The sequence below is a fragment of the Homo sapiens genome, chromosome 3, assembly GCF_000001405.40.
Source record: "Homo sapiens chromosome 3, GRCh38.p14 Primary Assembly".
Classification (NCBI taxonomy): Eukaryota; Metazoa; Chordata; class Mammalia; order Primates; family Hominidae; genus Homo; species Homo sapiens.
Window position 1 is genome coordinate 46,917,375 of NC_000003.12, and position 24,465 is coordinate 46,941,839.

General features: G+C 51.2%; 1 protein-coding gene, 1 long non-coding RNA gene and 1 pseudogene across 4 annotated transcripts in view, besides 10 other annotated features; all 3 read right to left on the bottom strand.

The window, feature by feature from the left end:
- BLVRBP1 (BLVRB pseudogene 1) lies at positions 1,433 to 1,561 on the bottom strand (annotated as a pseudogene).
- CCDC12 (coiled-coil domain containing 12) overlaps positions 4,356 to 24,465 on the bottom strand; it is a 60,265-nt gene continuing 40,155 nt past the window's right edge. For all 3 annotated transcript variants that reach the window (NR_102269.2, NM_144716.6, NM_001277074.2), the window contains 6 exons: positions 23,624 to 23,691; positions 8,082 to 8,161; positions 6,233 to 6,294; positions 5,955 to 5,989; positions 4,862 to 4,938; positions 4,356 to 4,765 (listed from right to left, as the gene is read on the bottom strand). Coding sequence is in view for 2 of the 3 variants with exons in the window: in NM_144716.6 (NP_653317.2) it covers positions 4,683 to 4,765; positions 4,862 to 4,938; positions 5,955 to 5,989; positions 6,233 to 6,294; positions 8,082 to 8,161; positions 23,624 to 23,691 (405 nt within the window). In the remaining variant the exon portion in view is untranslated. The remainder of the gene's footprint in view (positions 4,766 to 4,861; positions 4,939 to 5,954; positions 5,990 to 6,232; positions 6,295 to 8,081; positions 8,162 to 23,623; positions 23,692 to 24,465) is intronic.
- Positions 7,261 to 7,762: an enhancer, noted in NCBI's record as "H3K4me1 hESC enhancer chr3:46966125-46966626 (GRCh37/hg19 assembly coordinates)". NCBI's record gives its function as "activates a minimal SCP1, AML or CMV promoter by ChIP-STARR-seq in naive H9 embryonic stem cells {active_cell/tissue: H9 hESC(naive)}" and the evidence as "EXISTENCE:reporter gene assay evidence [ECO:0000049][PMID:30033119]".
- Positions 9,852 to 10,231: an enhancer, noted in NCBI's record as "active region_19800". NCBI's record gives its function as "activates an Ori minimal core promoter by ATAC-STARR-seq in GM12878 lymphoblastoid cells {active_cell/tissue: GM12878}" and the evidence as "EXISTENCE:reporter gene assay evidence [ECO:0000049][PMID:35858748]".
- Positions 13,231 to 13,746: an enhancer, noted in NCBI's record as "NANOG-H3K27ac-H3K4me1 hESC enhancer chr3:46972095-46972610 (GRCh37/hg19 assembly coordinates)". NCBI's record gives its function as "activates a minimal SCP1, AML or CMV promoter by ChIP-STARR-seq in primed H9 embryonic stem cells {active_cell/tissue: H9 hESC(primed)}" and the evidence as "EXISTENCE:reporter gene assay evidence [ECO:0000049][PMID:30033119]".
- Positions 13,253 to 13,302: an enhancer, noted in NCBI's record as "active region_19801". NCBI's record gives its function as "activates an Ori minimal core promoter by ATAC-STARR-seq in GM12878 lymphoblastoid cells {active_cell/tissue: GM12878}" and the evidence as "EXISTENCE:reporter gene assay evidence [ECO:0000049][PMID:35858748]".
- Positions 13,747 to 14,262: an enhancer, noted in NCBI's record as "NANOG-H3K4me1 hESC enhancer chr3:46972611-46973126 (GRCh37/hg19 assembly coordinates)". NCBI's record gives its function as "activates a minimal SCP1, AML or CMV promoter by ChIP-STARR-seq in primed H9 embryonic stem cells {active_cell/tissue: H9 hESC(primed)}" and the evidence as "EXISTENCE:reporter gene assay evidence [ECO:0000049][PMID:30033119]".
- Positions 14,453 to 14,562: an enhancer, noted in NCBI's record as "active region_19802". NCBI's record gives its function as "activates an Ori minimal core promoter by ATAC-STARR-seq in GM12878 lymphoblastoid cells {active_cell/tissue: GM12878}" and the evidence as "EXISTENCE:reporter gene assay evidence [ECO:0000049][PMID:35858748]".
- Positions 16,391 to 17,158: an enhancer, noted in NCBI's record as "H3K27ac-H3K4me1 hESC enhancer chr3:46975255-46976022 (GRCh37/hg19 assembly coordinates)". NCBI's record gives its function as "activates a minimal SCP1, AML or CMV promoter by ChIP-STARR-seq in primed H9 embryonic stem cells {active_cell/tissue: H9 hESC(primed)}" and the evidence as "EXISTENCE:reporter gene assay evidence [ECO:0000049][PMID:30033119]".
- Positions 18,125 to 18,419: an enhancer, noted in NCBI's record as "tiled region #2536; HepG2 Activating DNase matched - State 5:Enh, and K562 Activating DNase unmatched - State 25:Art". NCBI's record gives its function as "activates a minimal TATA promoter and a strong SV40 promoter by Sharpr-MPRA in HepG2 and K562 cells {active_cell/tissue: HepG2 | K562}" and the evidence as "EXISTENCE:reporter gene assay evidence [ECO:0000049][PMID:27701403]".
- On the bottom strand, positions 19,108 to 21,382 carry LOC124909375 (uncharacterized). The gene is made up of 2 exons (XR_007095901.1): positions 21,349 to 21,382; positions 19,108 to 19,336 (listed from the first exon to the last, which is right to left on the bottom strand). It is a non-coding gene; the product is annotated as an uncharacterized LOC124909375 (long non-coding RNA).
- Positions 22,423 to 22,924: an enhancer, noted in NCBI's record as "H3K27ac hESC enhancer chr3:46981287-46981788 (GRCh37/hg19 assembly coordinates)". NCBI's record gives its function as "activates a minimal SCP1, AML or CMV promoter by ChIP-STARR-seq in naive and primed H9 embryonic stem cells {active_cell/tissue: H9 hESC(naive and primed)}" and the evidence as "EXISTENCE:reporter gene assay evidence [ECO:0000049][PMID:30033119]".
- Positions 22,925 to 23,424: an enhancer, noted in NCBI's record as "H3K27ac hESC enhancer chr3:46981789-46982288 (GRCh37/hg19 assembly coordinates)". NCBI's record gives its function as "activates a minimal SCP1, AML or CMV promoter by ChIP-STARR-seq in naive H9 embryonic stem cells {active_cell/tissue: H9 hESC(naive)}" and the evidence as "EXISTENCE:reporter gene assay evidence [ECO:0000049][PMID:30033119]".

The window sequence follows — 24,465 nt, forward strand, 5'->3', positions numbered from 1 at the left end:
CATGTCTTGAGAACACACAGGCCGATGGAGAGGTCCATGTGGCAAGACACAGGGGCCACCAATCAACAGCCCCATGAGTCATCTTGGAAACAGATCCTCCAGCCCCAGTCCAGCCTTCAGATGAGTGCAGCTTCACAACTGACCCCAAGCTAGACTTACCCAGCTAAGCCACTCCTGATTCCTGGCCCACAGAAACTGAGGTAATAAGTGTTTGTTATTTTAAGCCCCCGAGTTTTGGGTAATTTATGTGTAGCAACTGATGATTAATAAAAAGTGTAGAATTTTTTTAAGTAAATTTGCTTACTTAGAATAAACATACAAAAAGGGCATAAAACATGTATACAGTTCAATGAATATTCATAAAGTAAAAATACCTAATCATCACCCAGATGAAGAAACAGAACATTTGGATGTATAGTTCTTCCTATTAACCTGCCTGAGACTTACTGGTCTTCTTGAATCTGTGAATTGGTGATTTTTTCTGGAAAGTTCTCAGCCAGTTTTTAAATATTGCTTCTGCCTCATTTTCATTTTTTTTTTTTCCCACCTGGAACTCCGTCACTTTACGTTGGATCTCTTCATTCTACTCTCCATGTCTCTCAGCCACTTGCTTTACATTATCACTGTTTATCTTGCTGGGCTGCATTTTGGAAAACTTCAGATCTAGCTTCCCATTCACTAATTGTCTCTTCACCTTTGTCTAATTCACAGATACAAGGTTTTTAATTGCCATAATACACTATAGTGCTATATAGTCACTCCTTATCTATGGGGGGATGTTCCAAGACCTCCAACCCCAGTGGATGCCCGAAATGGTGGCGAGTACTGAACCCTATATATGCTGTGTTTCCCCTTTACATACATACCTATGATAAAGTTTAATTTATAAATTAGGCACAGTAACAAATTAACAATAACTAATGAGAAAACAATTATAACAATACACAGTAATAAAAGTTATGTGAATGTGGTCTCTCTCAAAGTATCTTATTGCATGTGATAGTTTCGGACATGGTTGACCACAGGTAGCTGAAACCACAGAAAGGGAAATTGGAGATGCCAGGGGTGGGGGCCAGACTACTGTATTTTTTATTTCCAGAATACTGGTTTGGTTCTTTTGCAAATCTGCTCCTATGTTCACATCTTTTAGTTCTTAAGTAATTTTTAAACATACCTAAATTCCATGGCTGATAATTCTGATGTCTGAAGTCTTCATAAGTCTGGTTCTACCATGTGATTTTCGATGTTGGTTATTTTGCACCTGAGGCTCTGTTACCTTGTGTGTCTGATGAGCTTTTCTGCAACCTGTTCGTTTCTCTTTTCTATTTTAAAAATAACTTAAAGCTCTTGGCTCAAAATGTATTGCTCCCTTCCTTTGATGCTCATTTCCCAGCAAGCTATCGTCCTACATGGGGCCAGACTCCTAGTCGCACTGTGGGGAGGGACAGGTGCTGTGCCCATCATACTCAGCAGCGGTGAGGCAGTACATCATGAAGTGGCCCAGGTCATGTTTGGGGATGATCCTTGAGGGTCATTGTCCATCCAGGGTCACTGAGTAGGCCCTAAGATTCTCATATGTCTTGAAACTTTATCAGGGAGAATTCTTTGAGAGCTGATATGAATAAAGCTTTGTCCAGGTAGGATCTACATTTTCTTCTATCAAGTGTTTGAGACTTCCAACATTCTGGGACCAGTGGGACCACTTAAATTCTTGGATTCTCATGTACAAAAACCCACATGAAGGTTGGCTCAGTTCTCAAGGAAGACCTTTTTTTCAGTCCAGTAAGTGGCAAGGTTTAACTTTTGTATGGGATGCCAGGAGGGCAGATTTGCTATTAGTTCACAGAGGGTGTCACCCTTTGGGGCCCCAGCTTTACAGAGAGTTCTATTAGGGCCCTCATTTTGCAAAGGTTTTGGTTTGTCTTGAGCCCACGCATCGAGAACCCCAAAAAACAATGTTCAGTTTCACCTGGTTTGTCAAATACCCTCAAGGCAAAGGTCAGACTTTGGCATTCTGCTACCTCTTTTACATTCTGCCAAAGTATTCCTTATTTTCTTGCCAGCTCATTGCTGTATTTTTAAAATATTTGTTGCTATTCTTTATTTACCTAGTATTTTTAGCTGTTTGCATAGAGAGGATCAGATCAGGTAACTATTCCACCATGAAACTAGAAACAGAAGTGGCTGGCCGGCTGGGTGCAGTGGCTCATGCCTGTAATCCCAGCACTCTGGGAGGCTGAGGCAGACGGATCGCCTGAAGTCAGGAGTTTGAGACCAGCTTGGCCAACATGGTGAAACCCCATCTCTAGTAAAAATACAAAAATTAGCTGGGCGTGGTGGCACGCATCTATAATCCCAGCGACCTGGGTGGCTGAGGCAGGAGAATCACTTGAACCCGGGAGACAGAGGTTGCAGTGAGTCTAGATGGTGCCACTGCACTCCAGCCTGGGCGACAGAGTGAGACTTTGTCTCGGAAAAAAAAAGAAGTGGTTGGCCATTCTTTCTTCAGGTACCTTCTTTCTCTGGTTTCCTTTTCTTGGAACTCCTGTCATCTATAGGACAGGTATCAGTATAACAAGGTTCTCAAGCTACCCTCCATCTCGCCCTCTTTATCTCTCACTGCCACCTTCTCATGACCGTCTCAGCTTTAACTTCCAATTTACTAATCCTTTCTTGGACTGTAAGTTAATACTTAGCTCTCTGGTGAGTTTATTTTAAGAGCTGTATTCTTTCTTTCCAAAATTTCTAATCAGTTCTTTCTTATGTCTAATCTCTGTTCTTAAGGATACCACACGCTCTTTTATCTCTCTGATGTAAAAACAAATGCTCATTTTTAAAACCTTGTAGGCTGTTACTATTTCAGTTTCCTTGGGTATAAATCCTCCCACCTGGGTTACTGGTCATTCTTTAAGGCATTGGATTTTCTCGTGTATTTTGTAAATTTTGTTTGAGTACTCATGATGCATGGTACTTTGTTTTTCCTTCTAGGACAACACCCAGGGTCATGAAACCAGAAGCACATCTTTCATTAGCTCTGGGACTGTCGTACTGGGGGATAACCCTACTCTAGTCCCAGAGCTGATGCTGAGTGGCAGCTTAGTTGCCAGTCACCAGGTATCCAAGTCCTTCAACTGCTACAGACACGGATCCTGTTTCCAGCTGCAATCCCAGGAGACGCAGGGAGTCTTTTCACCCTTTTGTTCATAGGAAAAAAAGCCCAGCTCCAGTTTTACCAACTGGACAGACGGAGCCTGGCTCCAGTCCTGCATGTACCCCTGGACCTAGGAAATACTGGAAGGGTTTCTGCCCCATGTGGGAGTCAGGGTCTTGGTCTTGTCTTACTACTCAATGCAGAAGGTGGCCAGCTACCACTTTAGCCCTCACCCACAGCTAGAAGTTTCTGTTTCTTTTCCACACAGGAATTACCTTCCAAGAATAGTTGCATAATTTTAACTTAAAGGGTTTTTCATTGGTTGTGAGCGTGCTGGTCTCTGTGTGCACAAACCCACTCTGCCTCTATGACCAGAGTGCTTGGCACTGTCCGCCAGAGATGGGCCATTGTGTTTCTGGAATACTGCGGAGAGGAAGAACACACTAGATGGCTTAGGGCAGAGGCAGAAGGCTCAAGGAGAAATCCCAAAGGAAACTCAAGGGTGTAAGCATCCTGGAGGAGATGCAAGTCCAGCTGGCCACCGGTACTGCAGTCAGAGATGATGCAGCCAGCCAGGTACTCTGGAGAGTCAGTTCCACAGAGAAGGCTCATGTCCTAAAGCCAGAACCTTGGAGATCTAGGGTCCACAACCACACCTGAAACCCAGCCTACAACGTCCCCATCTCTAGCAGAATGGGCCACCCCTCCCATGCAGGGTCTCTGTCCTAGGGGAGCCACAGTCTAGCTCTGACTGGTGGAGTAGGGAGAGAGGCCGCCTGGGGCTGGGGAGAGTGGGGAAAGCAGTGCCAGCGGCATCAAATCTGGAGTGGCCCTGAGTTGGGGCTTGCCAAGGCCCAGTCTCTCTCACACTGAGGATCCCCAGAGGACCAGGGTGGGAGCCTCTCCAGCTACTCCATAGACTACTACAAGGCCTAGGTCTGGGGGAGGTCTTAAAAGGACTTTCTCAGACCCTGTCTCTATCACCCAAGGATCTTGAGATGACCAGCACTGACCATGGACTGGGCCAGGACTTGGCCGCAGAAGGCAGCCCTGAGTGTTTCCCACCCCTCCGGCCTCAACATGCCCAGCCCAACACAGGGGTTATTCATACATATTAAGTACCAGCTCTGCAGTCACCCTGTCTCCATCCTGTGGAGCCCAAATCCACTGCACCCTCAGACCTAGGAAATATCTGACACATTTCTGCCACACACAGGGGTTTACTTGTTTCTATTTCCAGATTTTTTTTTAGAAAGTTCAAAATATATACATATATACAGACATATGTACATCCACATGTGCAGACACAGGCACGCCCAGAGTTGTTGCTGGTTCTGCCTCCATTCAGAATGGCAGGGGCCACCCAGCAGACAAGGAGCTGACCTCATCCATGGGGGTTTCAGACTTGATGGGCAGGGAGTCTCTGCTCAGAAGCCAAACTGGAGGTGATGGCAAGCCTAGCCCCCATCCCTGCCCAAGACCATCCTCTGCAGGACAGGCCTGATGGGCGAGTGGTGGGGCAGGGCATGCCTCAGTCGGAGTCACAGGTCTTTTGTTCGGTGGCAGCATCCACTGCAGAGGCTAGGCTGTCTTCCTGGCCTTTCAGCCTTTCACCTGGGATGGATGGCAGACAGAAGGGGTGGGGAGGGGCCCGGTGCTTGGGCCACCACCCAGTGGGCAGGACCCCACCTTCCCAGGCACTGCACTTACGGATCAGCTCGGCAATGGCCCTCTGAGTCCGCTTTTTTAGTTTCTCCAGCTTCTTGGCCACATCTCTCTTGAGGTCCCTGGAGCAGGGAGGCAGGGAGAAGCAGGAAGGTGAAGGCTGGCCTGATGTGGCATTGGGTCCCCTCCCCTCTTGCAGCCCTCTGGCATTAGGAGTCATGCTCGGTTGCTGGAGGGGGCTGCCCTGGGGAAGAGGCCAGGACATTCCCCTTCTGTACCCTCCGAAACCCAGCATAAACCATCATTCCCTGTCCCACTGAGGCAGGGGGACTAGCATCACAAACCCACCCAACACAAGGGACTGAGCTAAGGCAAAGGTGGATGGTTTCTCAGAGACCCTCTCTTGCTCTGGTCCTCTGGTCACCATCAGGGAGTGACTTGCTCCTGCCCACTGTGGGCCCTGCTCCTCCTCCAGCCACCGGCCCAGCCCCTCCACTGTGGGCACCCAGAAGTGCACAAGCACTCAGCCCATTCTCTCTGGCTCTGGGTTTCCCAGGACATATGCCCCATGCTTTTGTTTCATCAAATTAAAACAGCTGGTGTTAACTCGACCAAGAATCAGGCGAGAGGGATATAGCTCTACCTCCGGCTCAAGGTGAAGACAGACACAAGCCTCCCGGCCCACAGCACCCTCTCTCCCACTCTCTCTCAGCCTAGCAAGAAGGATGACGACCTCCATTTCACAGAGGAGGAAACCAGGGCCAGAGGGAACAAGCTATGGTGGTAGAACAGGAACAGAAAACTGTGTCTGCCCTTCCCTCCACTCCTGGCCCCCAAAGACAGCGGTTGGCCTTGCTCAAATGGGAGCTCTGGAGCAGATGGGCTCTCAACCTCTCAGGAGGGCCTTCATGAGGGGCCTGCTGCTCCCCGCGCCTGAGCCCCACTCCATCACTCCCCTCTCATCCCACCACTTATGTCCTCCTCAGCACTGGTTTCCAACAGTAGCTATCTCGTGTAACTCTATGTCTGTACTGCCAGTCTCTGCACTGTGACGGCAGGAAGGGCCAAGCCCCAGGCCCATGCTGGCACCAAGAGTCCCCGAGTCAGCCTGCACCCGCCACGCACGGGCAACACTCACCAGTCAGGCTTCCGAGGAGCGAGGTTGGCCAGGTCCTGGGAAGGGAGGAGACACACATCAGGGTGGAGGGGCCACCCCAGGACAAGGGGGAGGGCAGGCTCGAGAAGGAGGGAAATGGGAGAAAGAGGAGGAGGAAGGAGAGGGACGAGAGCAAAGGGGCTGGTGGGAAGGGAATAAAGAAGTGACGAGAAGGAATGGGGGGCAGAGGGAGAGCAAGTGGCGAAGAGAAACAGGACACACAGAAGCAGCGAGGATGCCAGGGTGGTCCAGGCACTCACCACCTCCTCGATGACGGGCTCGGGCTTGGCGGCCTCCAGCTGCTCCTTCACCTTCTCCTCCACTAGAGGGTGCAATTAAACAGAGAAGGCCTGTGGAAAACGCGCTGCCACTCTGCAGGGACACTGCCTACCGTGGCCCCCAGGGAGAGACGGGACCCCAGGCTTCCTTGCTCCCACCTCTGTGTGGCCCGCAACCAGCCAGAGGTGAAGACCCTGCAAAGGCAGCTCTGGAGGAGGGGCCTGGGTTTCCCAGGATGAAGCATTCCCCACAGGCCAAGAATGGGACAGCAGGAGGCAGCCAGCCACAGTCAGTCAGGAAGCATGGATGCTGACAATAACTACAAGACCAGAGAGCTGCCTGGATACATACAAAGTGAGGACTGGCTTCTCACATAATCCCAGGGCTCCTGGGCTCTGAGGATGTCCTCTGGGTCCCGGCCTAGCCAGAGCCACAGGTGGCTTTTCCTCCATCCCACCTCAGGTGTATGCTCCCAAGACCAGGGCACAGGCACCTCCCAGCTCCTCCAAGCTACTGCCAGCATAGTGGGCCTCTGAGCAATCTGACTAGGAGGGTCCTGCCCCTTGGGGACAAATGGCAGAAGCACTAACAACTCTGGGCTCTGTGGGCTTCCTCCAACCCCTGGCATTCAGTGGGCCCATGAGTGCCCTCCTGCTCTGCCTCACCTCCCTCCAGATACAGATGAGAGTTGAGGGCTTCCCCTGACCTGGGCAGTTCCTCACCTCTCTGTCCTGCCTACTATCCCCCAGTGCACCATTACCCTACCAGGTGGGGCCCAAACTACAAAGCAAATCACGGGGAAGTGTCTGGATTTCAGGGATGAAGGAAGTGGGGAAGCAGACCGGGATGTGGCCAAATGGGCAACACTTTACTTTTTCCCAAGATAAATGTATTTATTCACTTGTTACTTATGCAATTCAAAAAAAGTTGATAACAAGGCAAGGCACAGTGGCTCACACCTGGAATCCCAGCACTTTGGGACGCCAAGGCGGGTGGATCACTTGAGGTCAGGAGGAGTTCAAGACCAGCCTGGCCGACATGGTGAAACCCTGTCTCTACTAAAAACACAAAAATTAGCCAGGCGCAGTGGCACACACCTGTAATCCCAGCTACTCAGGAGGCTGAGGTTACAGTGAGCTGAGATTATGCCACTGCACTCCAGCCTAGGCGACAGAGCGAGACTCCATCTCAAAATAAAATAAAATAAAATAAAATAAATAACAAACATAAAGAATTAAAATGGGGACCCTCCAGGGCAAGGGCCCAGGGATCCGCAGGACTAAGAAACTTCCTGGCATGAGTGGTGTGGACGGCCAGAAGCTCCTGGTGGCTGTGCTGTTCCCACGCCATGGCAAGAGTCTAGGCAAGCCCTGGGCCAGGCCCTCTCCCCTGCCTCAGTGCTCCACACTGCCCGTCCACTGCTGTGTGTGGCTGAATGACTGGCCCCTGTCTCTGACCCACCCAGGGCCCACAGGACCCATCACCCTGCCCTGCTGCCCAAGGGCCCCATGACCACATCCACTTCTCAGCCAGGAGTCCTCTGAGAGGATGTGGCCTTTTTCAAACCCCACTCAGATCCCTGGGAGGCCTCGGTCTCAGGGTGTGAGCAGGACTGAGAAGGCACAAGAGGACTCTTCAGTGCCCCGACAGCCTCTGCTGCTGCCGAAGGCCGACTGTGTGCATCTGCCATGAGATGGTAACAAAGGGTCCTGCCTGCAGGCCCAACTCCTGTCCTGGTACTGCTGGTTATTCTCAGAGAGCAAAGCCTGCTGAGGTGGAGGGTGGCTGACAGTGCCAGGAAGCAGAGGTGGAGAGGGACAGCTTGCTTACCTGCAACCGGTTTGGCCTGGGGCACCCTCCTCTTCTTCAGGTCCTCATCCTCCGGGACATAGTTCCGCAGCCTAAGTTCCCTGCAAGAATAGAGGGAACAAGCAGAGATGAAGTCAGTGTGTGACATGGTCTCATTCATTCATTCATACAATTTGCATAGCCCGTGAATTCCTGAATTTCCTCTGCACTCTCTGGAGATAGCCTGGTAAGGAGGAGAAGCACAGAATGGAGTGTCATCAGGCAGGCCCCTTGGCACCGTCCCCTGCCACTTAGCGGGACTGGCTGCCCTCCAGAGGCCCTGTCTACTCTGTTGGAGTACGGTTCTCTTCCAGAGCTGGGCCAAGGACGCCTAGGGAGCATTCACAGGGTGTCTCTCCTGGATCATCCCATTTGACAGATAAGGGGACTGGAGGTCAGAGAGACTGTACCCTTTTCATAGGATCACACAGCAGTGGCTGCACATCTTAGCTCAAGGCAATGTATAACTCCCAGCCAGGGCTAAAGCTCCTAGGCTGAGTGATTCCCAAAAGAGAAGGCCAGTGGTCACCCACAAATTCCCCAAGTCTGGCCCCTCTTCAGAGCCTTCCTGCCCTGGGGCTCATGCCATGGAATACGCCTCAACTACTTAGAGAAAAGCATCTGGGTGTGCTGGGCCAGGGGCATGTGGCAGTGAGGAGTGACATGTGGACAGAGAAGCAGGTGCTGGAGGGCTCCAGAGGGGCGTGGCTGCCTACAGCTGTGGGAATGTGGAGGGGAGACACTCCAGGAGGAGGTGGCGCCTGGGCCTGCAATGACGCGGACAGGGTCAAGGCACAAAGCACACGAGAGGCTGACTCAGCTCCAAGACTGTTGAGAGTGGCCAGTGAGGGCTGTGAAAATAGGCATGACCATGTGCAAGGCTGGGAAGGCCACAGTCCACCAGGACAGCAGTGAGAACTGAACAGCCCCAAAGGCCTCCATGAAGAGAGAGGAGCCACAAGGGGCCAGAATCTCCCGGCAGGAGCTGCGGCTAGCTACTATGTTTTTATGTTCTTCCTGCCTCAGTCTTTTCAGGCAGGGGTGGCTGAACCAAGAACTCACTGGGGTCCTCTCTGGCTCAGGGGCTCATCAAATCCTAGCCCCACACACACAGAAGCAGGCTCCCAGGAAAATGTGTCCCTGGTAACTCCACAGGGCGGCAGGGCGAGAGGTCCTGGGGGCTGCAGGGTCTAAGAAAGGCAAGGCAGAGGCAGTGGGACAGACCCCTAGCCCCAGGGGATGCAGGAGTGGCCCCTCAGATGCTGGCCAGGTGAGACTAGGCCGCAGGTCCTCCTCCTTCCCCAGTACCTCTTTCGGTTCTTGACCAGTGGTCCCTCAGAAAAGTCCTGGGCCTCTAAGGCAGGAAACAATTTCCCAACAGGCCTCCCACAGTCTGCCATCTCCCAAGCCCTCTGTCTGGACCAGGTAAAAGTGCTGCTGACTTCCTCAGGCCCTGCAAAAGCAAGCTTTCCCAGAGGCAGGGGTGTCTGTGGCTACACAGCTAGCAAGCGGCAGTGCTTTGGACTCAGGGGCTTTCAGATGCTATTCACTCTCCTATTTAAGGGCTCCACCTGCTTCCTGCCCCCAGCTTACTTACCATCTCCTTCCTTCCTGCCAGGGCCCCTGAGCCTGGAGCCTTGGGGCTGGGCTGAACCACTGCGGGCGATGGGGCAGTACCAGCATAGCCTGTGTGGAGGAAGCCCACCTGCACTCCCAGAAGGCCCAGAGATACCCCACCCCGTCCCCCATCCTTGAACACCTGCCTCGGGCCTGGAGGTACATGTCAGGTCACAGAGGTACAGGGAGACAAAGTGGGGCATGACTGGGTGCAAAGGCTTTCGTTCACAACAGGGTGGGGAGAAATGAGGAAGAGAAACTGGGTGTGGGAAGAAAACTGCAGGGATTAGTAAGAAAAAAAACTGTCGCTTTCAGAAACGGTCTCCAGGGTTCTGTGAGAAATCAGAAGGAGAGAGGAGAGGCCACAGGGAACTGTACCCAGAACTCACAGCAGCAACACGCACCCATGCCTCCAGACCCACCCACTGCCCGAGGCTTCAGAAGGCCAACTGGAGGAGTGAACCAGAAGCAAGAGGCGGGAGCAGAGCCTTGCGCCCACTGTGCCCTGCCACCCCCAGAGCGGAGCACTGGCCAAGCAGCCAAGAACATCTAGATCCCGACCACCATGGGAAGGTCTCATTCTGGGCCTCAGTTTCCACATTTAGAAACATTACGGCTGTGCTGGGTGCATCCAGCTCTATCAAGCTGGGTCCACGCCCTCCCCAGACTCACTCTTGGAGGGTTAATCTGATGTGCAGCCACTGTTGTGTGATCGCGTGAAAATGGTGCAGTCTCTGACCTCCAGTCCCCTTAGCGTGGAGAGCTAAGAGACTTCCCCTCCCTAATGCCCACTTAACTGCCCACCCCCGGAATTCCACCACTACCAAAGGACAGGAGTCTCTGGGAGAGGTCAAGGAGCATGGGGGGGTTCAGCTTGGGGACCTGGCCTTTCCAACACAGGCCCAAGATTTAACCTCCCTTATAAAAGCAGGTGGATCACTTTAGGTCAGGAGTTTGAGCCCAGCCTGGCCAACAGGGCGAAACCCGGTCTCTACTAAAAATACAAAAATTAGGTGGGTATGGTGCCACATGCCTGTAATCTCAGCTATTCAGGAGGCTGAAGCAGGAGAATCGCTTGAACTGAGGAGGCAGAGGTTGCAGTGAGCTGAGATCGCACCACTGCACTCCAGCCTAGGCTGCAGACTGTCTCAAAAAAAAAAAATGTATATATATGTATTTTAAATGGCTTTAGAGAAGTACCAAGACAGCAAGGATTTCAGGGGCTGCAATCATGGAGATAAGGGAAGTACAACAAAGTGAGCCTGACATCACGTCCCTCTTTCCCCTTAAAGCATGTCTATTTACATGCAGCAGCTGAAAAGCTGAGAGACTGAGCAGAGCTTCCCATTAGGTTGATGCAAAAATAACTGTGGTTTTTGCCATTGAACATAGTGGCAGAAACCACAATTACTTTTGCACCAACCTCATATAATCTCATGGGCCTGGAGAGAAAAAAAAAAGTGTGTTTAAGCAGAAACTAAAACAGACTACTGACTTCTCAACTGCAACTATGGAAACCATAAGACCATGAAATGGTATCTCAGAAGTGTGGACAAAATAAATGTCACACAAAATTCTAAATCTAGTTAAGAAGCCTTCAAGAGAAAGACTTTTTCAGACAAAGAAAGGTTAGGAGAATCAGTTATCAGTGAATCCGTTATTCAAGAAATACTAAAAGGAATACTTTAGGCTAGAGGAAAATGATCTCAGACGGAAACATGGAATTGCAGGGAAAAAATAAAATGCCTCAGAAAGGGTAAATACAATGGCTTGTGTCTGTAATCCCAGCTACTTCGGAGGCTAAGGCAAGAGGATTGCTTGAGCCAGGCGTTCAAGGCTGCAGAGAGCTATGATCACACTCTGCACTCCAGCCTAGGTGACAAAGCAAGACCCTGTCTCAAAAAAAAAGCAGGGGGAAAAGAGAATTTAAATGAATATTGACTGTATAAAAGAGTAATAACAACTTATAGTATTTAAAATATAGCAACAATAGTGTAAAAGGCAGAGTGGCAAATAGCCTTAAAGTGTTCTAAGGTCCTAAGCACTGTAGAGGAAATGGTAAAAATACTACTATTTTCTATTAGACTTTGATAAGTTAAGGATGTATGTTGTTATGCCTGTGGAAATCACTAAAAGAAAGGGAAAACAGCATACAATTAACAAGTTAACAGAGGAAGAAAGTGGAATAATTAAAAACAAAAAAATCCAAAAGGAGACAAGAATGGAGATAAAAAAGGAAAGTCAAGAAACAAATAGTAGGACAACAGGTTCACACACAAAGCAGGTCCAGGCTGCTATCCTAGGAGCTCCCATAGCCTTACAGTGTCCGGGGCCACCACAGCTCTTGGAGACTGGGCAGGGTGTGACGAGATGGTGCCAGCCAGAGCAGTAGGGCAGGCCAACACCTAACACCTTGTCAGCTGGCCAGGAAATACTGAAGCAGCCTGCACTCACCAGCAGTCACTGGCATCTGGAAGCCACCTTTCTGAGGACAACTGGAGCCAAACAATGGTTCTGCCACCCCCATTTTAGAATGAGGAAGTTGCTAAGGGGAGAAGGTACTAGCTCTAGCTAAAAGAAAAGAAATAAAAACAACAAAAATGTTGACAGTGGTTATCTCTAGGACTGACTTTTTTTCAAGAGATGGGGGTCTTGGCTGGGCATGGTGGCTCACACCTGTAATTCCAACACTTTGGGAGGCCGAGGCGGGTGGATCACCTGAGGTCAGGAGTTCAAGAACAGTCTGGCCAACCAACATGGTGAAACCCCATCTCTACTAAAAAAACAAAAATTAGCCAGATGTGGTGGCGGGTGCCTGTAATCCCAGCTACTCAGGAGGCTGAGGCAGGAGAATCACTTGAACCTGGGAGGCAGAGGTTGCAGTGAGCCGAGATGGTGCCACTGCACTCCAGCCTGGGCGAGAACAGCAAGACCCCATCTCAAAAAAAAAAAAAAAAAAAAAAAAAAGAGATGGGGGTCTCCCTATGTTGCTCAGGCTGGACTTGATCTCCTGGGCTTAAGCAATCCTCCTGTCTCAGCCTCCTGAATAGCTGGGACTACAGGCATGAGCCACCATGTCCAGCTCTGAGTGATTTTTACTTGCTTCTCTGATTTTCTGTAGTTTCCGGAATTTCTAATCAGTATTCTTCCTACACAGAAACAACCAACGAAGTACTCAAAAACATAAAGAGGAAACAGGCAGAGGGGCCATAAGGCAGCAGAAGACTGTGGCAGGGTTCTGAGTCAGGCAGCACCAGCACCTCAGCTCTGCTGGTGGCCAGTCTCTGTGGCTTAGGGCCAGGCTGTCCCCTAGCCAAAGGGAAGCAGAGACCAAGCCATGCTTTTTTGGGGCTTTCTGCCCCCAGAGTCTATGGGAAGGAGGGCAGCCCAGAAAGCCCAATGGCTTCTAAGACACTATCCTTTGCACCAAATGCCCTAGGCCACCCAAAGTCCACCCTATACCGGCAGCCAGTGTCTGGGTGGAGCTTTGCTGTCTCTCCACAGGAGCAGACACATCAGCCACCTCAGTGCCTCCACTGGCCCTCCCTCTGACTCAGGGACCCCAGTGTCCCCAAAACAAGTCTAAGCTTCTTCACGTGGTCCTGGCCCCACAGCCTGCTCACCCCCTCAGCTACACACTTCCCCGTCCATCACGCTTAAAGAGCCAGCTCCAGGAGGTGGCCCTGTGGGCCCCTCCCAGTGTCCCTACTCACCCTGAGGCACAGTAACCGCCCTTCTCCTGGGCCCCCTTTGCCCCACTTGCCTCTCTACCCTCTCCACAGCAGGCCCCACTCCATGCACGTGGCCCTGTGTCGGCTGCATGTCTGTCTTTCACAGCCTGCCCTAAATGCACCAGGCAGCTCCAGGAGGGGCTCAGCATACATTGCCTCAAGCTGGATAAAGGAATTCAGAAGGCACTCAAGAAAGAGCTTTATGGGTAGCCTGGGGCTCTCTGAGCCTTTCAATGACTTGAGAAGACATTTGGAAGCAAAGAAGTTGTGCCCAGCAGAGAGGGCAGGAATGTGGCTGGGCCGGGGCAGCCAACCCCTAAGCAACTTCTTTGTGGCAAAGCAACAGGGAATGCCAAGTTTGCATTCCATAGAGTTTCCTTCTAAAATGGGTAGCTGACCTTTTCTATTTACTTTACTCTGCTTCAGGCCAGCTGCAGGAGCCCGGGACATGGGCTGGCCAGGGAGGTTCAGGGGAAATCACCCCTAGGGTGCTTTTTCACATGTGCCAATGAGAGGAAGCAGGTGGAGAAAGTTGATGTTCTCTGTCAAGTATAGAACCAGAGTAGAGTTCTAGAATGGCGAAATGAAAGGAAGCTTTGAGATTATGAATCTGATCCAACCCCATCACTGGCAAACTGGCCTCAAAGCCTACACTGCTCATGGGGGTTTCATGGCCCCTGGTCCACTTCACTCACTCATGCTACCAGGCTTATCCTTTGGGGCGCTAGCCTCCCTTCTCATCCCTTATATCTTGAGGCTACTCCACATTCACCTGCTGCCCTGGGCCCCTGGAGGGAGGCAGAGAGGATAAGGACAGGACAGTCCCACATGGCCTGTTCCCTGAGAACAAGGTCCTCCACCTGGCCACCCTGGTCCCTCCTGGCCATACAGGCCCCATCAAGGGCCAGAGAGAGAACTGCTGTGAGGCACTCCTCCTAGTAACAGACCACAGGGAAGGCCACGCCCAGGATGCGCCTGCAGGCCTTGCAGAGGCCACCACTGACCAGAGAGACTGGCAACTTTGATCAAAGAACACTTTCATTTTTAATATTCAGAGTACAGAGACACTGGAGCTCTGCCAGGAAAACACACTCATGACACTCAGACATGCCCCTAATAATCCTCTGTTTGCTTTAGGCTCTGCACATAGAGACCTACCCCTTGTCCCCAATATAAATAACAAGGCTTCAGTTGCTGCTGCCAGAGGCCAGACTCGACAGAAGCATGAAAATGAGGGGAGAGGCAACTACCCCAAATGAGGTACACAACTGCTCTAGAGGCTGATCTGGTCTTTCTTTCAAGGGCCATTAAAATGTTCAAACTCCCTGACCCGGTAACCCTGCTCTGGGGAAATTATTCCATAGAAATAGTAACAAGACAGGAGCAAGCAAAACAAAGCATTCTATATACGCACGATCCTGGCAGCATAATTCATAATAGCTACAACACCTCTGGGATCTCTTCTGGCAGAGTGCCCTAGAGTGGCCTAAAGTACCACCAGGCTATGAGGGCAAAGGACAATTTAGTACAGGGATGTTTTTGTTTGGTGGTTGATATTTTTCTTTAGAACACTCAATGGCTGGCTTTGCAGCAAATGAGACTTTTAAAGAGCCCAGTGGCTTCCCCACTCGTGGGCAGAGGAGACTGTCCTCCAGCTGTCACCCAGCAAGGCAACTGTGGCCCCAGCCTGAAGAACGGGTACAGTGTAAGGCAATAAAACCTCCCTTCCCTTCTCTTATCCAGCCCACCCCAAGCCTCCTGTCCTTCTGGCCACACAAAGAGGACAAGGTCTATTGGAGCACATGACACAAGAAGTGACCATGGGCAGGACAGGGCCACATCACAGCCTCAGGGGGTGGACAGGCCTCCAAGCAAGTCCTGGCAAATGCGTCCTCAGCGGGTTTCAGAAAAAGGAGTGGGAGCGCCTTTGTGCCCCCACCTGAAACCACAGGCCAGAAAGCATGAGATAATGCACCCTCCCCAGTAGGGGCAGCCTCCACACATGGCCTCTCAGAGGCCACCTCTCGAGACCACCCTTCCACAGAGGAAGAGGGTGTCACTGACATTTTCTCAATGTGGAAAACAGTCCAGAAAGACTATCCAAGGTGCCAGAGTTGAAGGAAGAGCCGGAGGCAGAATCCACACCCTGCTCTCTGGCCTAGGGGTGGACCCCACACCAGCTTCCTGCATCTGGCTCCTCAGGGACCAGCAACTGCAGTAGAGAAGCTACCTGACACAGTGACTGGGGCCTGGCCAGGGCTGCAGGTGGCTGTGCCAGGGCTCTGAGTGCTCAAGTGTTCCTCAAAGGAAAAACTCCTGCAGCCTACCCCACAGTGGAGTTCAGCCTACAGCATTATCCTGGAAACTCCCTCCCTCAACGGGAGCCCAGCCTCTCAGCTCTCCCCACTGCCAGGAGAAGCCTTCCTCAGCCCTAAAAATTACAATTTTAGGTCACAGGTCTTAGAGGCAGAAGGAGCTTCAGAAGTAGTACAGTCAAGCCCTTGCCTTAAAAACAAGGAGGCCGGAGAAGCCAGAGCTGGCTGGGGATGAGATCTGTATGGGAGCCCCCACCAAGACAGATCAACAGCTATGGCCACGTGTTGGCACCAAGGCCTACCCAAAGGCCCCTGAGGGATGGCTTATAAGCAGCCAACGGCTGTTCCAGGCAATGACCAGGGCTGAGTGTTAGTTAAATGAGGCCCCTGCCCTGCTGGAGCTGCCATCGCATCTGCATCATGCGGTCTGCACCCACTCTCATCCCAGACGCTGCAGAACCTAACCAAGGTGCTCTACACTGACAAGTTTGAACTTTGCACCCATCCCACCTGAAAGCCCATAGCTAGTGGGTACTTAAGGCGTTAGAAAAAACTGGTCTGCCAAAAGCAAAACAAAAAACCCCAAGACTGAAAAATAAATCATGGTACTCTCAAAGAAATATTAAGCTGCCATAATTTCATGAAAGTGTATTTACCAAAAGATAGTCATGACACGGCTCATGAAAAAATGTTACAAAACAGCATGATATGCACAGATACATGTTGATCTGTAGTTTCTAAGTTTTCTACAATAAAAAAATCTATAATTTATGTAAATATCAATTGAAAATTTTTTTTTTTTTGAGATGGAGTCTCGCTCTGTCGTCCACTGGAGTGCAGTGGAGCAATCTCGGCTCACTACAAGCTCCGCCTCCCGGGTTCACTCCATTCTCCTGCCTCAGCCTCCCAAAGTGCTGGGATTACAGGCGTGAGCCACAGCACCCGGTTGTAAATATCAATTTAAATTTTAAAACAGGAGAGGAGTAAACGTTTATGGCAGATGAGCTAAGCCCCAAAGGGCCCATAAGGTGAGAACTGGATTGGTCACACTGGCCATGTGGGACCCAGATGTTGGGGGACAGGGGCCTGCATAGCCCACTGCCCCTCACCCTCCCAGGGCCCAATCTAGCCCACAGACCACTCTGGGAAAGTGGATGGTGCTCAACCCCATAAGGCTGCCCTGAGTGGCAAACTGCCAGCAGCTGCTGCACTCTGCCAAAGACTCTTTTCCCCACACAGGGAGGGGTCTCAGTGCCAGCTCCACTCCCTTTCAAAAGTTGGAGGATTTTAGCCAAGGAAATTTTAGCCAAGTCACTTCACCTGCCTGGACTGTAGTTTCTTCACCTATAAATGCAGATCACATTAGTCCCAGAACAGAGGTGAAGACTTCATAAGAGGGGCTTTGGAAGCTGAGATCAGGACATACAAGATATCAAGACTTAATGCACACAGAAAGGATTCAGCTGTGCTCCTACCCCACCCTACCCAGAAGGGAGGTGCCCGGTGCCAGCACATGGTGAGTCGGCTTCACCATCTTCCTTAAACCAGTTCTCTCTTGATTCATTCTCCCACATTCCCAGGCCTATTCCCAAGAAACAGGGTCAGGAAAAACGAGGCAGTCGTGGGTCCCTGTGCTGCTGCTTCAGCAGGAGATCTCCACTGCCCATGACTGGGACATCACCAGATGTAGACATCCTCTACAGTGGGACTGAAAGAACTCAGGAGGCGTGATGGGAGCCGCCCTGGTCGGTACCACTACGGTGGAACAATGCATGCCAAATCAAGCTGATGTCATGGATCAAACAACCATGATCTGTGATACACCCTGGTGTGTGGAAACCATCAGTGGGGCCCAGCACACAGAGCAGAGAGGCCTGGCATTGGCTGGACTCAAGGGTTTGGGCACTGGGCCAGGGCTGGGCCTTAGCTGGGGTGGGAAGTCTCTCCACAAGAGGGTCATGCACACATTGAGCTGGGGAACAGATTTTCCATCTCTGAAGAAGGAAGGCTAGTGGCCTCATTGCTTTTGCAATATGTGACACCCAGCACCGGTCAAACAACTATCTCTGATGGTGACCGACTTTTCCAGCTGTGTGCAGACCTCCATACAAAGCCACAGGGAGGTGGTGGCTGTGGAGGTTGGGAGGTCGGGACTTGCTTGTTCAGGCACTTTCTGGCATAGGAGGAGGCGAGTGCTCCTGGTTAAGTGCCTCCTCCCTTCTCCTCCCACCTGTCAGCCCCAACCCAACAGTCCATCCATCCCACAAGGCAGGGTGGCAATGGCTGTCAGCCACAAACGCTGCCCTAGACATGCCTCCATGGCACATATCAGCCAACCTCCCATCAGGAAGAAGTGACGGAGAGCTTTTTAAAAAAAAAAAAAGCAGCTAAGCAGCTGACACTGACATGAACGCCCCTGAATGCCCTCTTCCATGGGCCAGCTTTCCAGGGCACATCTTATCTGGGCAGTACACAGGGGGCTGGGGGAAGGGAGCTGCCTTAGGGATGAGTCATCCATGCCTCTACAGAGTTAGCTACAAGAGGGCTGGCAGAGACAGGGAAGAGTCAGCCCAGAGAAGTAGGGCCCATCTAGGGGTAGGAATGCATCCTTTCTTCCCACAGAGCCTGGGCTGGTGGAGCTGCTGGAGCTCACTCCCACCCAATGGGGATTTGGTTGTATGGGGATAGGACAGGATTTATCCTAGGAGAATAATACAAATTTTAAAAAGGAATCTGGATCTATAGATTCAATGCAATTCTATCAAAATCCCAGCAAGCTTTTTCTAATAGATATTAACAAGCTAACTATAAAATGCATAAGGAAAGGCAAAGGAACTGTTAGAATAGCTAACATAATTCTGAAAAGGTCTCCTCAGGCAGTGGGGCAGGAACACAGGCAGGCAGGCGAGTGGCTCTTCAAGATGGCTGGTGAGGGGCAAGGTCCTGGGGTGGCTCCCTCCAATCCTGCTGGATTTTCATTTACTTAGCCACAAACCCTGGCCCTACAGTGTATCTGGTTAGACAAATGAATCTGCAAAATGAGACCACTCAGCTTATTTCCAAGGACTATCTAATGCAGCAAATAAGCGAGGCTCTACAAAGTGGTTCCTAATCACAAACTTCTAAGTCACATTTCCTTATTTCTACTCCCATCCATTGCCTCACATTTCCCCCAACTGTTGCCTTATTTGCAAAGCTGGCACATGCTTTATGTAAAAGTTACTTCTGCCTTTTCGAGGTGTGTCCAGAGTCCTTTCACTCTCTCGGGAGGACCTCACGGTGCCTTCCTTCTGCCCAGAGCCCCAGCACTAGCTGGGCAAACAGGTATGGCATTTGCTCTGTTCGTCAGGTGAAGCAAGTTTTATTTCATTTTTTTCCACCTTTGGTTGAAGATTCTGCGGCTCACTGAGGCAATGTGACTTGCCCAGGGTTAGAAAATTAACTGGCAGGGCTTGGCCTCAAACCCGGGAACTGCTTCCAAAGCTTGACCTTACTCCATCTGTCTATGTCCTTTCATTTCAGGGACTGCTGCTGAACCAAGAATCTTCTCAACATGTGTTCTTCCCCTAAGTCCCTAAATTAAAGCAGAAAAAAAAAATTTAAAGCATGATGAACTAGCTACATCAATATATGGAACTGACCACCAGGCAGGGGACACTGAGTGACCTGGAGAGTAACTGAGGCAGATGGACCCTGCTCTCTGCCAGCTAATGGGACATAGGGAGCCGAGACACTCACAGGCAGCAGGCCCTGGGGTCACCCAGTCATTAGAGTTCAGAGCTGAGTGGCCGTGTGGGATGGAATGACTCAGGGAGGAATCCTGGTCAGGGCATAAGAGGAGAAACTAGGGAACAAGAGGAAGAGGAGGGCGCCCCCTCCATCTCTCTGTAGGGCCTGGGTCAGGGACGCATCAGAGACAACTTAGTCTTTCCCATCCAGGTTGGGCCCTTGGTCTCAGATGCAGATCTGTGTAACTCCCTTGGCGTCACTCCTGAGATGGTGAGGGGGTCAGACTGGAAGGGGCCCCCAGGGACACTGTGTAAAGGAGAGTTGGGGTGATGTCTGTTCATGCCTCCCCAACAAGAGGCTATACCACCCACCCTTTCACACTGCAGATTCATGCCTCTGGACCTTTGCCACCCAAACCCTACCATCTGGATTCCAGACTTAAAAGGTATGTTCTCCATAAGGCCTTGTCCCACTGAAGGCAGGACAGTGTTAGTTGAAAGCACCCCTGAGTGGGCACCACACTCCTCTCAGCACACTCCAGAATGGCGGGTGCTGGTGGGGCTTCACACCTGGCACCTGGGCTCAACCCAGAGTGACCCTGACTGAAGTAGGCTGTTCTCGCCTCCCAGCAGCCGAGGAAGAAGGATGCTCACTGGCGAATGGCCTCAGGGGTCATCTCTCCAATGGACTGGAAGGTCACTTCTTTCTCTCCAGTGGCAAAGGAGGCTGTAGCAGGGGCTATGGCCTAGGGGGTTCTCTGGAATCAGCTCCCAATCCATAAGCATCCTGCATGAGAGCCCCTTTCCAGACTTGGGGTACAAATAAAAAGCAAGATCCCCTGGGATGGACACGGCCTCTGCTGCATCCTGCTCTTCCTGGAAAGTCCATCATCCCCAATCCCTGGACCCTGCAGTCTAAAGTTACGTCCACATAGGTCTGGCCCTGTGTTAGGCAACCAATGTTCTAATCTGCCTTCCTAAATAACCTGAGCAAGCCCTCTGCTCTGGATCTGTTAAAGTCAGAAGAGTCTGCTTTTCTCTGGGGCCTACAAATACAGGCACAACTCCTTGCTAAGGCTAGGCTTCCTGGCAACCAAGGGAGTGACCGAGTAGCAGGCCCTGCCAGGTACAGGATGCTAGAAGTCCACCTGCCCAAAGTCTCTAGAAGGACAGCCCCAAAAGCCAAGCTCTCAACGACTGGGAGGCAAACCTGTTCCACCATGCTCCACTGCCTCAAAAGAGGCCAGATTAGAGCAAAGCAGAAGAATATGATGAGCTGAAGCAGAACCCAATTCAATGTCCAGCATGGTTGGTCCCTGGGCTGCGGTGAGAAAAAACAAAACAGGGCCCTGCACCTGCCCAGCTCAGTGGGCTCAGGACAGGGCCTCAGAGCAGGTCTTGTGCTCCACTACAAATGACCTGTAAGACCTAACAGGAAGCAGGTCCTCACATGGCAGGGCCTCTTTTATCTAGAACTCACTGACAGGAGCCTGGAACTACACATGCCCTTTGGTTTTTTTCCCACAGTTTTCATTATGATATATCTCAGGCACACAGAAAAGTCCGGAGAATAACCTAACACATATACTCACCTCCTGCAGAGTCAATAAAAGTAATGTTTTGCCATATTCCAGACAGGTTTGTTCCCCTCCTGTTTTTTTTTTTTTTTTTTTTTTTTTGGTACAACAAAATCACACATCATTGGCCAGGTCCACTGGCTCACACCTGTAATTCCAACACTTTTGGGAGGCTGAAGTGGGTGGACTGCCTGAGCTCAGGAGTTTGAGACCAGCCTGGGCAACCTGGTGAAACCATGTTGTTTTTGTACCAAAAATTAGCTGGGCATAGTGGTGCGCACCTGTGGTCCCAGCTTCTTGGGAGGCTGAGGTGGGAAGATCGCTTGAGCTTGGGAGCCACGTGGAGGTTGCAGTGAACTGAGATAGCGCCACTGCACTCCAGCCTGGGTGACAGAGCGAGACCCCATCTCAAAAAAAAGAAAAAAAAAATCACACATCATAGAGCCTTTCCCTAATCCTGTTTCCTCCTTGCTTCCCCAGACAGCAATCGGAGGCATCACTCCTCATGTATGTGTTTACACTTCTGCTTTCGCTTTCTTGGCAGCACCTGACACTGTATCACACGCCTGCTTCTTCGTTAACAGCCTGTCTCCTTCCAGAAAATGTCAGCTCCATGAGGGTAGGGGCTGTACTTTGTCTGCTGTTGCCTTCCAGGGGCCCACAATGGTGCCCTGCACAGAGCAGACAACCAATAAAGTCAGTACTTGCCAACTGAGTAACACACATATATCATTTTGTGTTCCTAAATTTGATATAAATGTTCCTGCCCTGTATGCCTCAATTCTGAAACCTGCTTTTTTCCTTCACTCAACACCATGTTTGAGATTCACAACCATATGGTTCAACATTCAAGCCTCTTACTGTATGACCCACCCACCCACCTGCTAAACCAGCGACCCTTCTCTCTCATCGAGGAGGGGGAGGGGTGGGGATCAGAGAAAACACCACCAGCAAATCAAAGCCCAGAAACTGGAACTCAGGCTCCAGCCAGAGTTCCAGTTTTTGAGAAACTAAGAATAAACCAGAAGACCAAAGGGCCTCTAATATGTAGTTACCACAGAATGGGGGAAACTGTGCCAGCACCCACCCATAAAGCCACATATGTTGGGGTCACCTGGCAAAGGAGCAACTAACTGGCCTTCATCTTCCCATCACCAGCCAGGGACCTTCAAGAGCTGGGGGCTGAGGCCCAACAAAAAGCCCCAGGCCCAGTGCCGGCAGACCCACTCACTGTTTAGCATCACCAGCCTCTAAGCATAGAGCTGGTAGCATGTCTGAACCCGAGTAGGGGGCATGGACTCTGCAGGGCTCTCAGGATGGTGTGAAAACACTCTGTAAGTCGTGTCTGTGATTGCTCCTGATTACAAAGGCAGAGATGAGGCCCGCATGTGGGGAGGTTCTACTCATACTGGTGAAGGTGAAAAAAGGCTGTGGCATTAGGAAAGCCTGCTCTGGTGTGGCTGCCCAGCTTCCTCTAAAGAGCATTCCCTCCCCTCCCGCTCCCCCTGGGCAAAGCAGAGCCTAAGCCCATCAAGATCTACACCCCCCTGTGCCTGAAGGAAGCTGCTCAGAGCAAAGGAAATCAAGGCAACCTGTCCAGAAAGACACACAGTCTGGCCCCAGGAAGAGAGCCCCATCTCAGGGCTAGGCATGGGAGGGAGGACATGAGACCTCTGGAACTGCTGACACGGGAGTGGTAGTCAGACACTCTGCTCACAAAGATCAGCAGCACAGCTTTGCCTCGCTCACCCCACACACTGGTTCCGGCAACAGTTTCCAGGCTCCAGATTTTTGGGAGGCAAAGCAGCATCTGAGGCTCTGTGGAGGTTGCAGCCCTCAAGACTGCGGGGGAAGACCTTGTGCCTGCAATCACGAGGGAAGTGTACCCAAGACCCTCACGTGTGCTGTGTTTAGGCAACTTAAGTGGACCCAACCAGATGAGAGTATTCGACAAAATAAGATAAATACTACAGAGGGAAATGAAGCCAGAGGGACACAGACAACGAGAAAGGCGCCCTTTGAGCTGAACTCTATGTGAAGACCCAGACATCAAAGGTATAGGAGAGATGAGAAGGACCTCCAGGCTGAGAGGACGGACAAAAGACTGGTCAGGAAATGCTGAGTGGCCAGAGGTGGCAAGGGCCGACCACAAAGGGCTCTGGCTAGAGGGAAACCAGAGGAGGTTGGATGAGGCTAGATGGTCCAGGCAGAGCTTCACATGCCAAGTGCAGAAGGGGCACTTACTCAGTAGGCAATGGAGAACCACGCCACAAAAGGTGTATGAGAAGGGTAAAAAGGCATAATGTAAGGGCTAGAAAGAAAATGCTGGGGGCTGAGTAACAGCCAAATGGAAAATGAGGGAAAGGAGGCAGAGAAGGCCTCGACAAGGGCCTTCTGAGATGTTGAGATTTTAAGGTCTGAACAGGACAGCCATGGGCAGAAAGAAGAGGGGAGGGAACAGGGCAGACACTGAACAGAGTTGGGAGGACCCAGAGACTGGGAGACCGATGAGTGCTGGAGGAGAGAGCAGACCCTGGAGCTGCACACGGGCATTACCTGTGCTTCTCGCCTTCTTCCTCCTCTTCTCTGAGATGCTTGGTCTTTGGCTCCCCATCTTCCTTGTCCTGCAAAGAAAGGGAGAAAACCACCAGCTCAGTTGAAAGCTCCTACTTCCAGTCCACGTGGCCCAGGGAGCTAAAGAACAGGACATCTCAGAAGGGGGGCACCTGGCAGGGCCCAGCTTGGTGTCCCAGACTCCAACAGGGTACACGCCTGCTGCATCTCATAGGCACAACTGGAGCCTCATTGCCTGTGCAGAATTTAAAAATCCATAACTCTTGGCTGGGCGCGGTGGCTCATGCCTGTAATCCCAGCACTTCAGGAGGCCGAGGTGGGCGGATCTCGAGGTCAGGAGATCGCAACCATCCTGGCTAACACGGCGAAACCCCATCTCTACTAAAAACACACAAAAAAATTAGCTGGGCGTGGTAGTGGGCGCCTGTAGTCCCAGCTATTCGGGAGGCTGAGGCAGGAGAATGGCGTGAACCTGGGAGGCAGAGCTTGCAGTGAGCCGAGATCAAGCCACTGCACTCCAGCCTGGGCGACAGAGCGAGACTCCATCTCAAAAAAAAAAAAAAGCAACAAAAAAAGTCCGTAACTCCAGCCCAGTCCCAGGTACCTGGTAGCCCTTAGAGAACACTCACAGAAAGAGCTGGATGGCTTTAGGTGGTGAGAAATGCAGCCACTTGGTGCCATGGAGGGGCCATGCTGGCAGGCCAGCAGTCACCTTCATGGGTCTAGACAGAACCACCTGCTAAGCTAGGAAAGACTGGGGAAAGAAGTTACCAGCAACCAGGGCAGGATGAGAGCTCAGGCCTCCTGAGACACCTTTCAGGCCA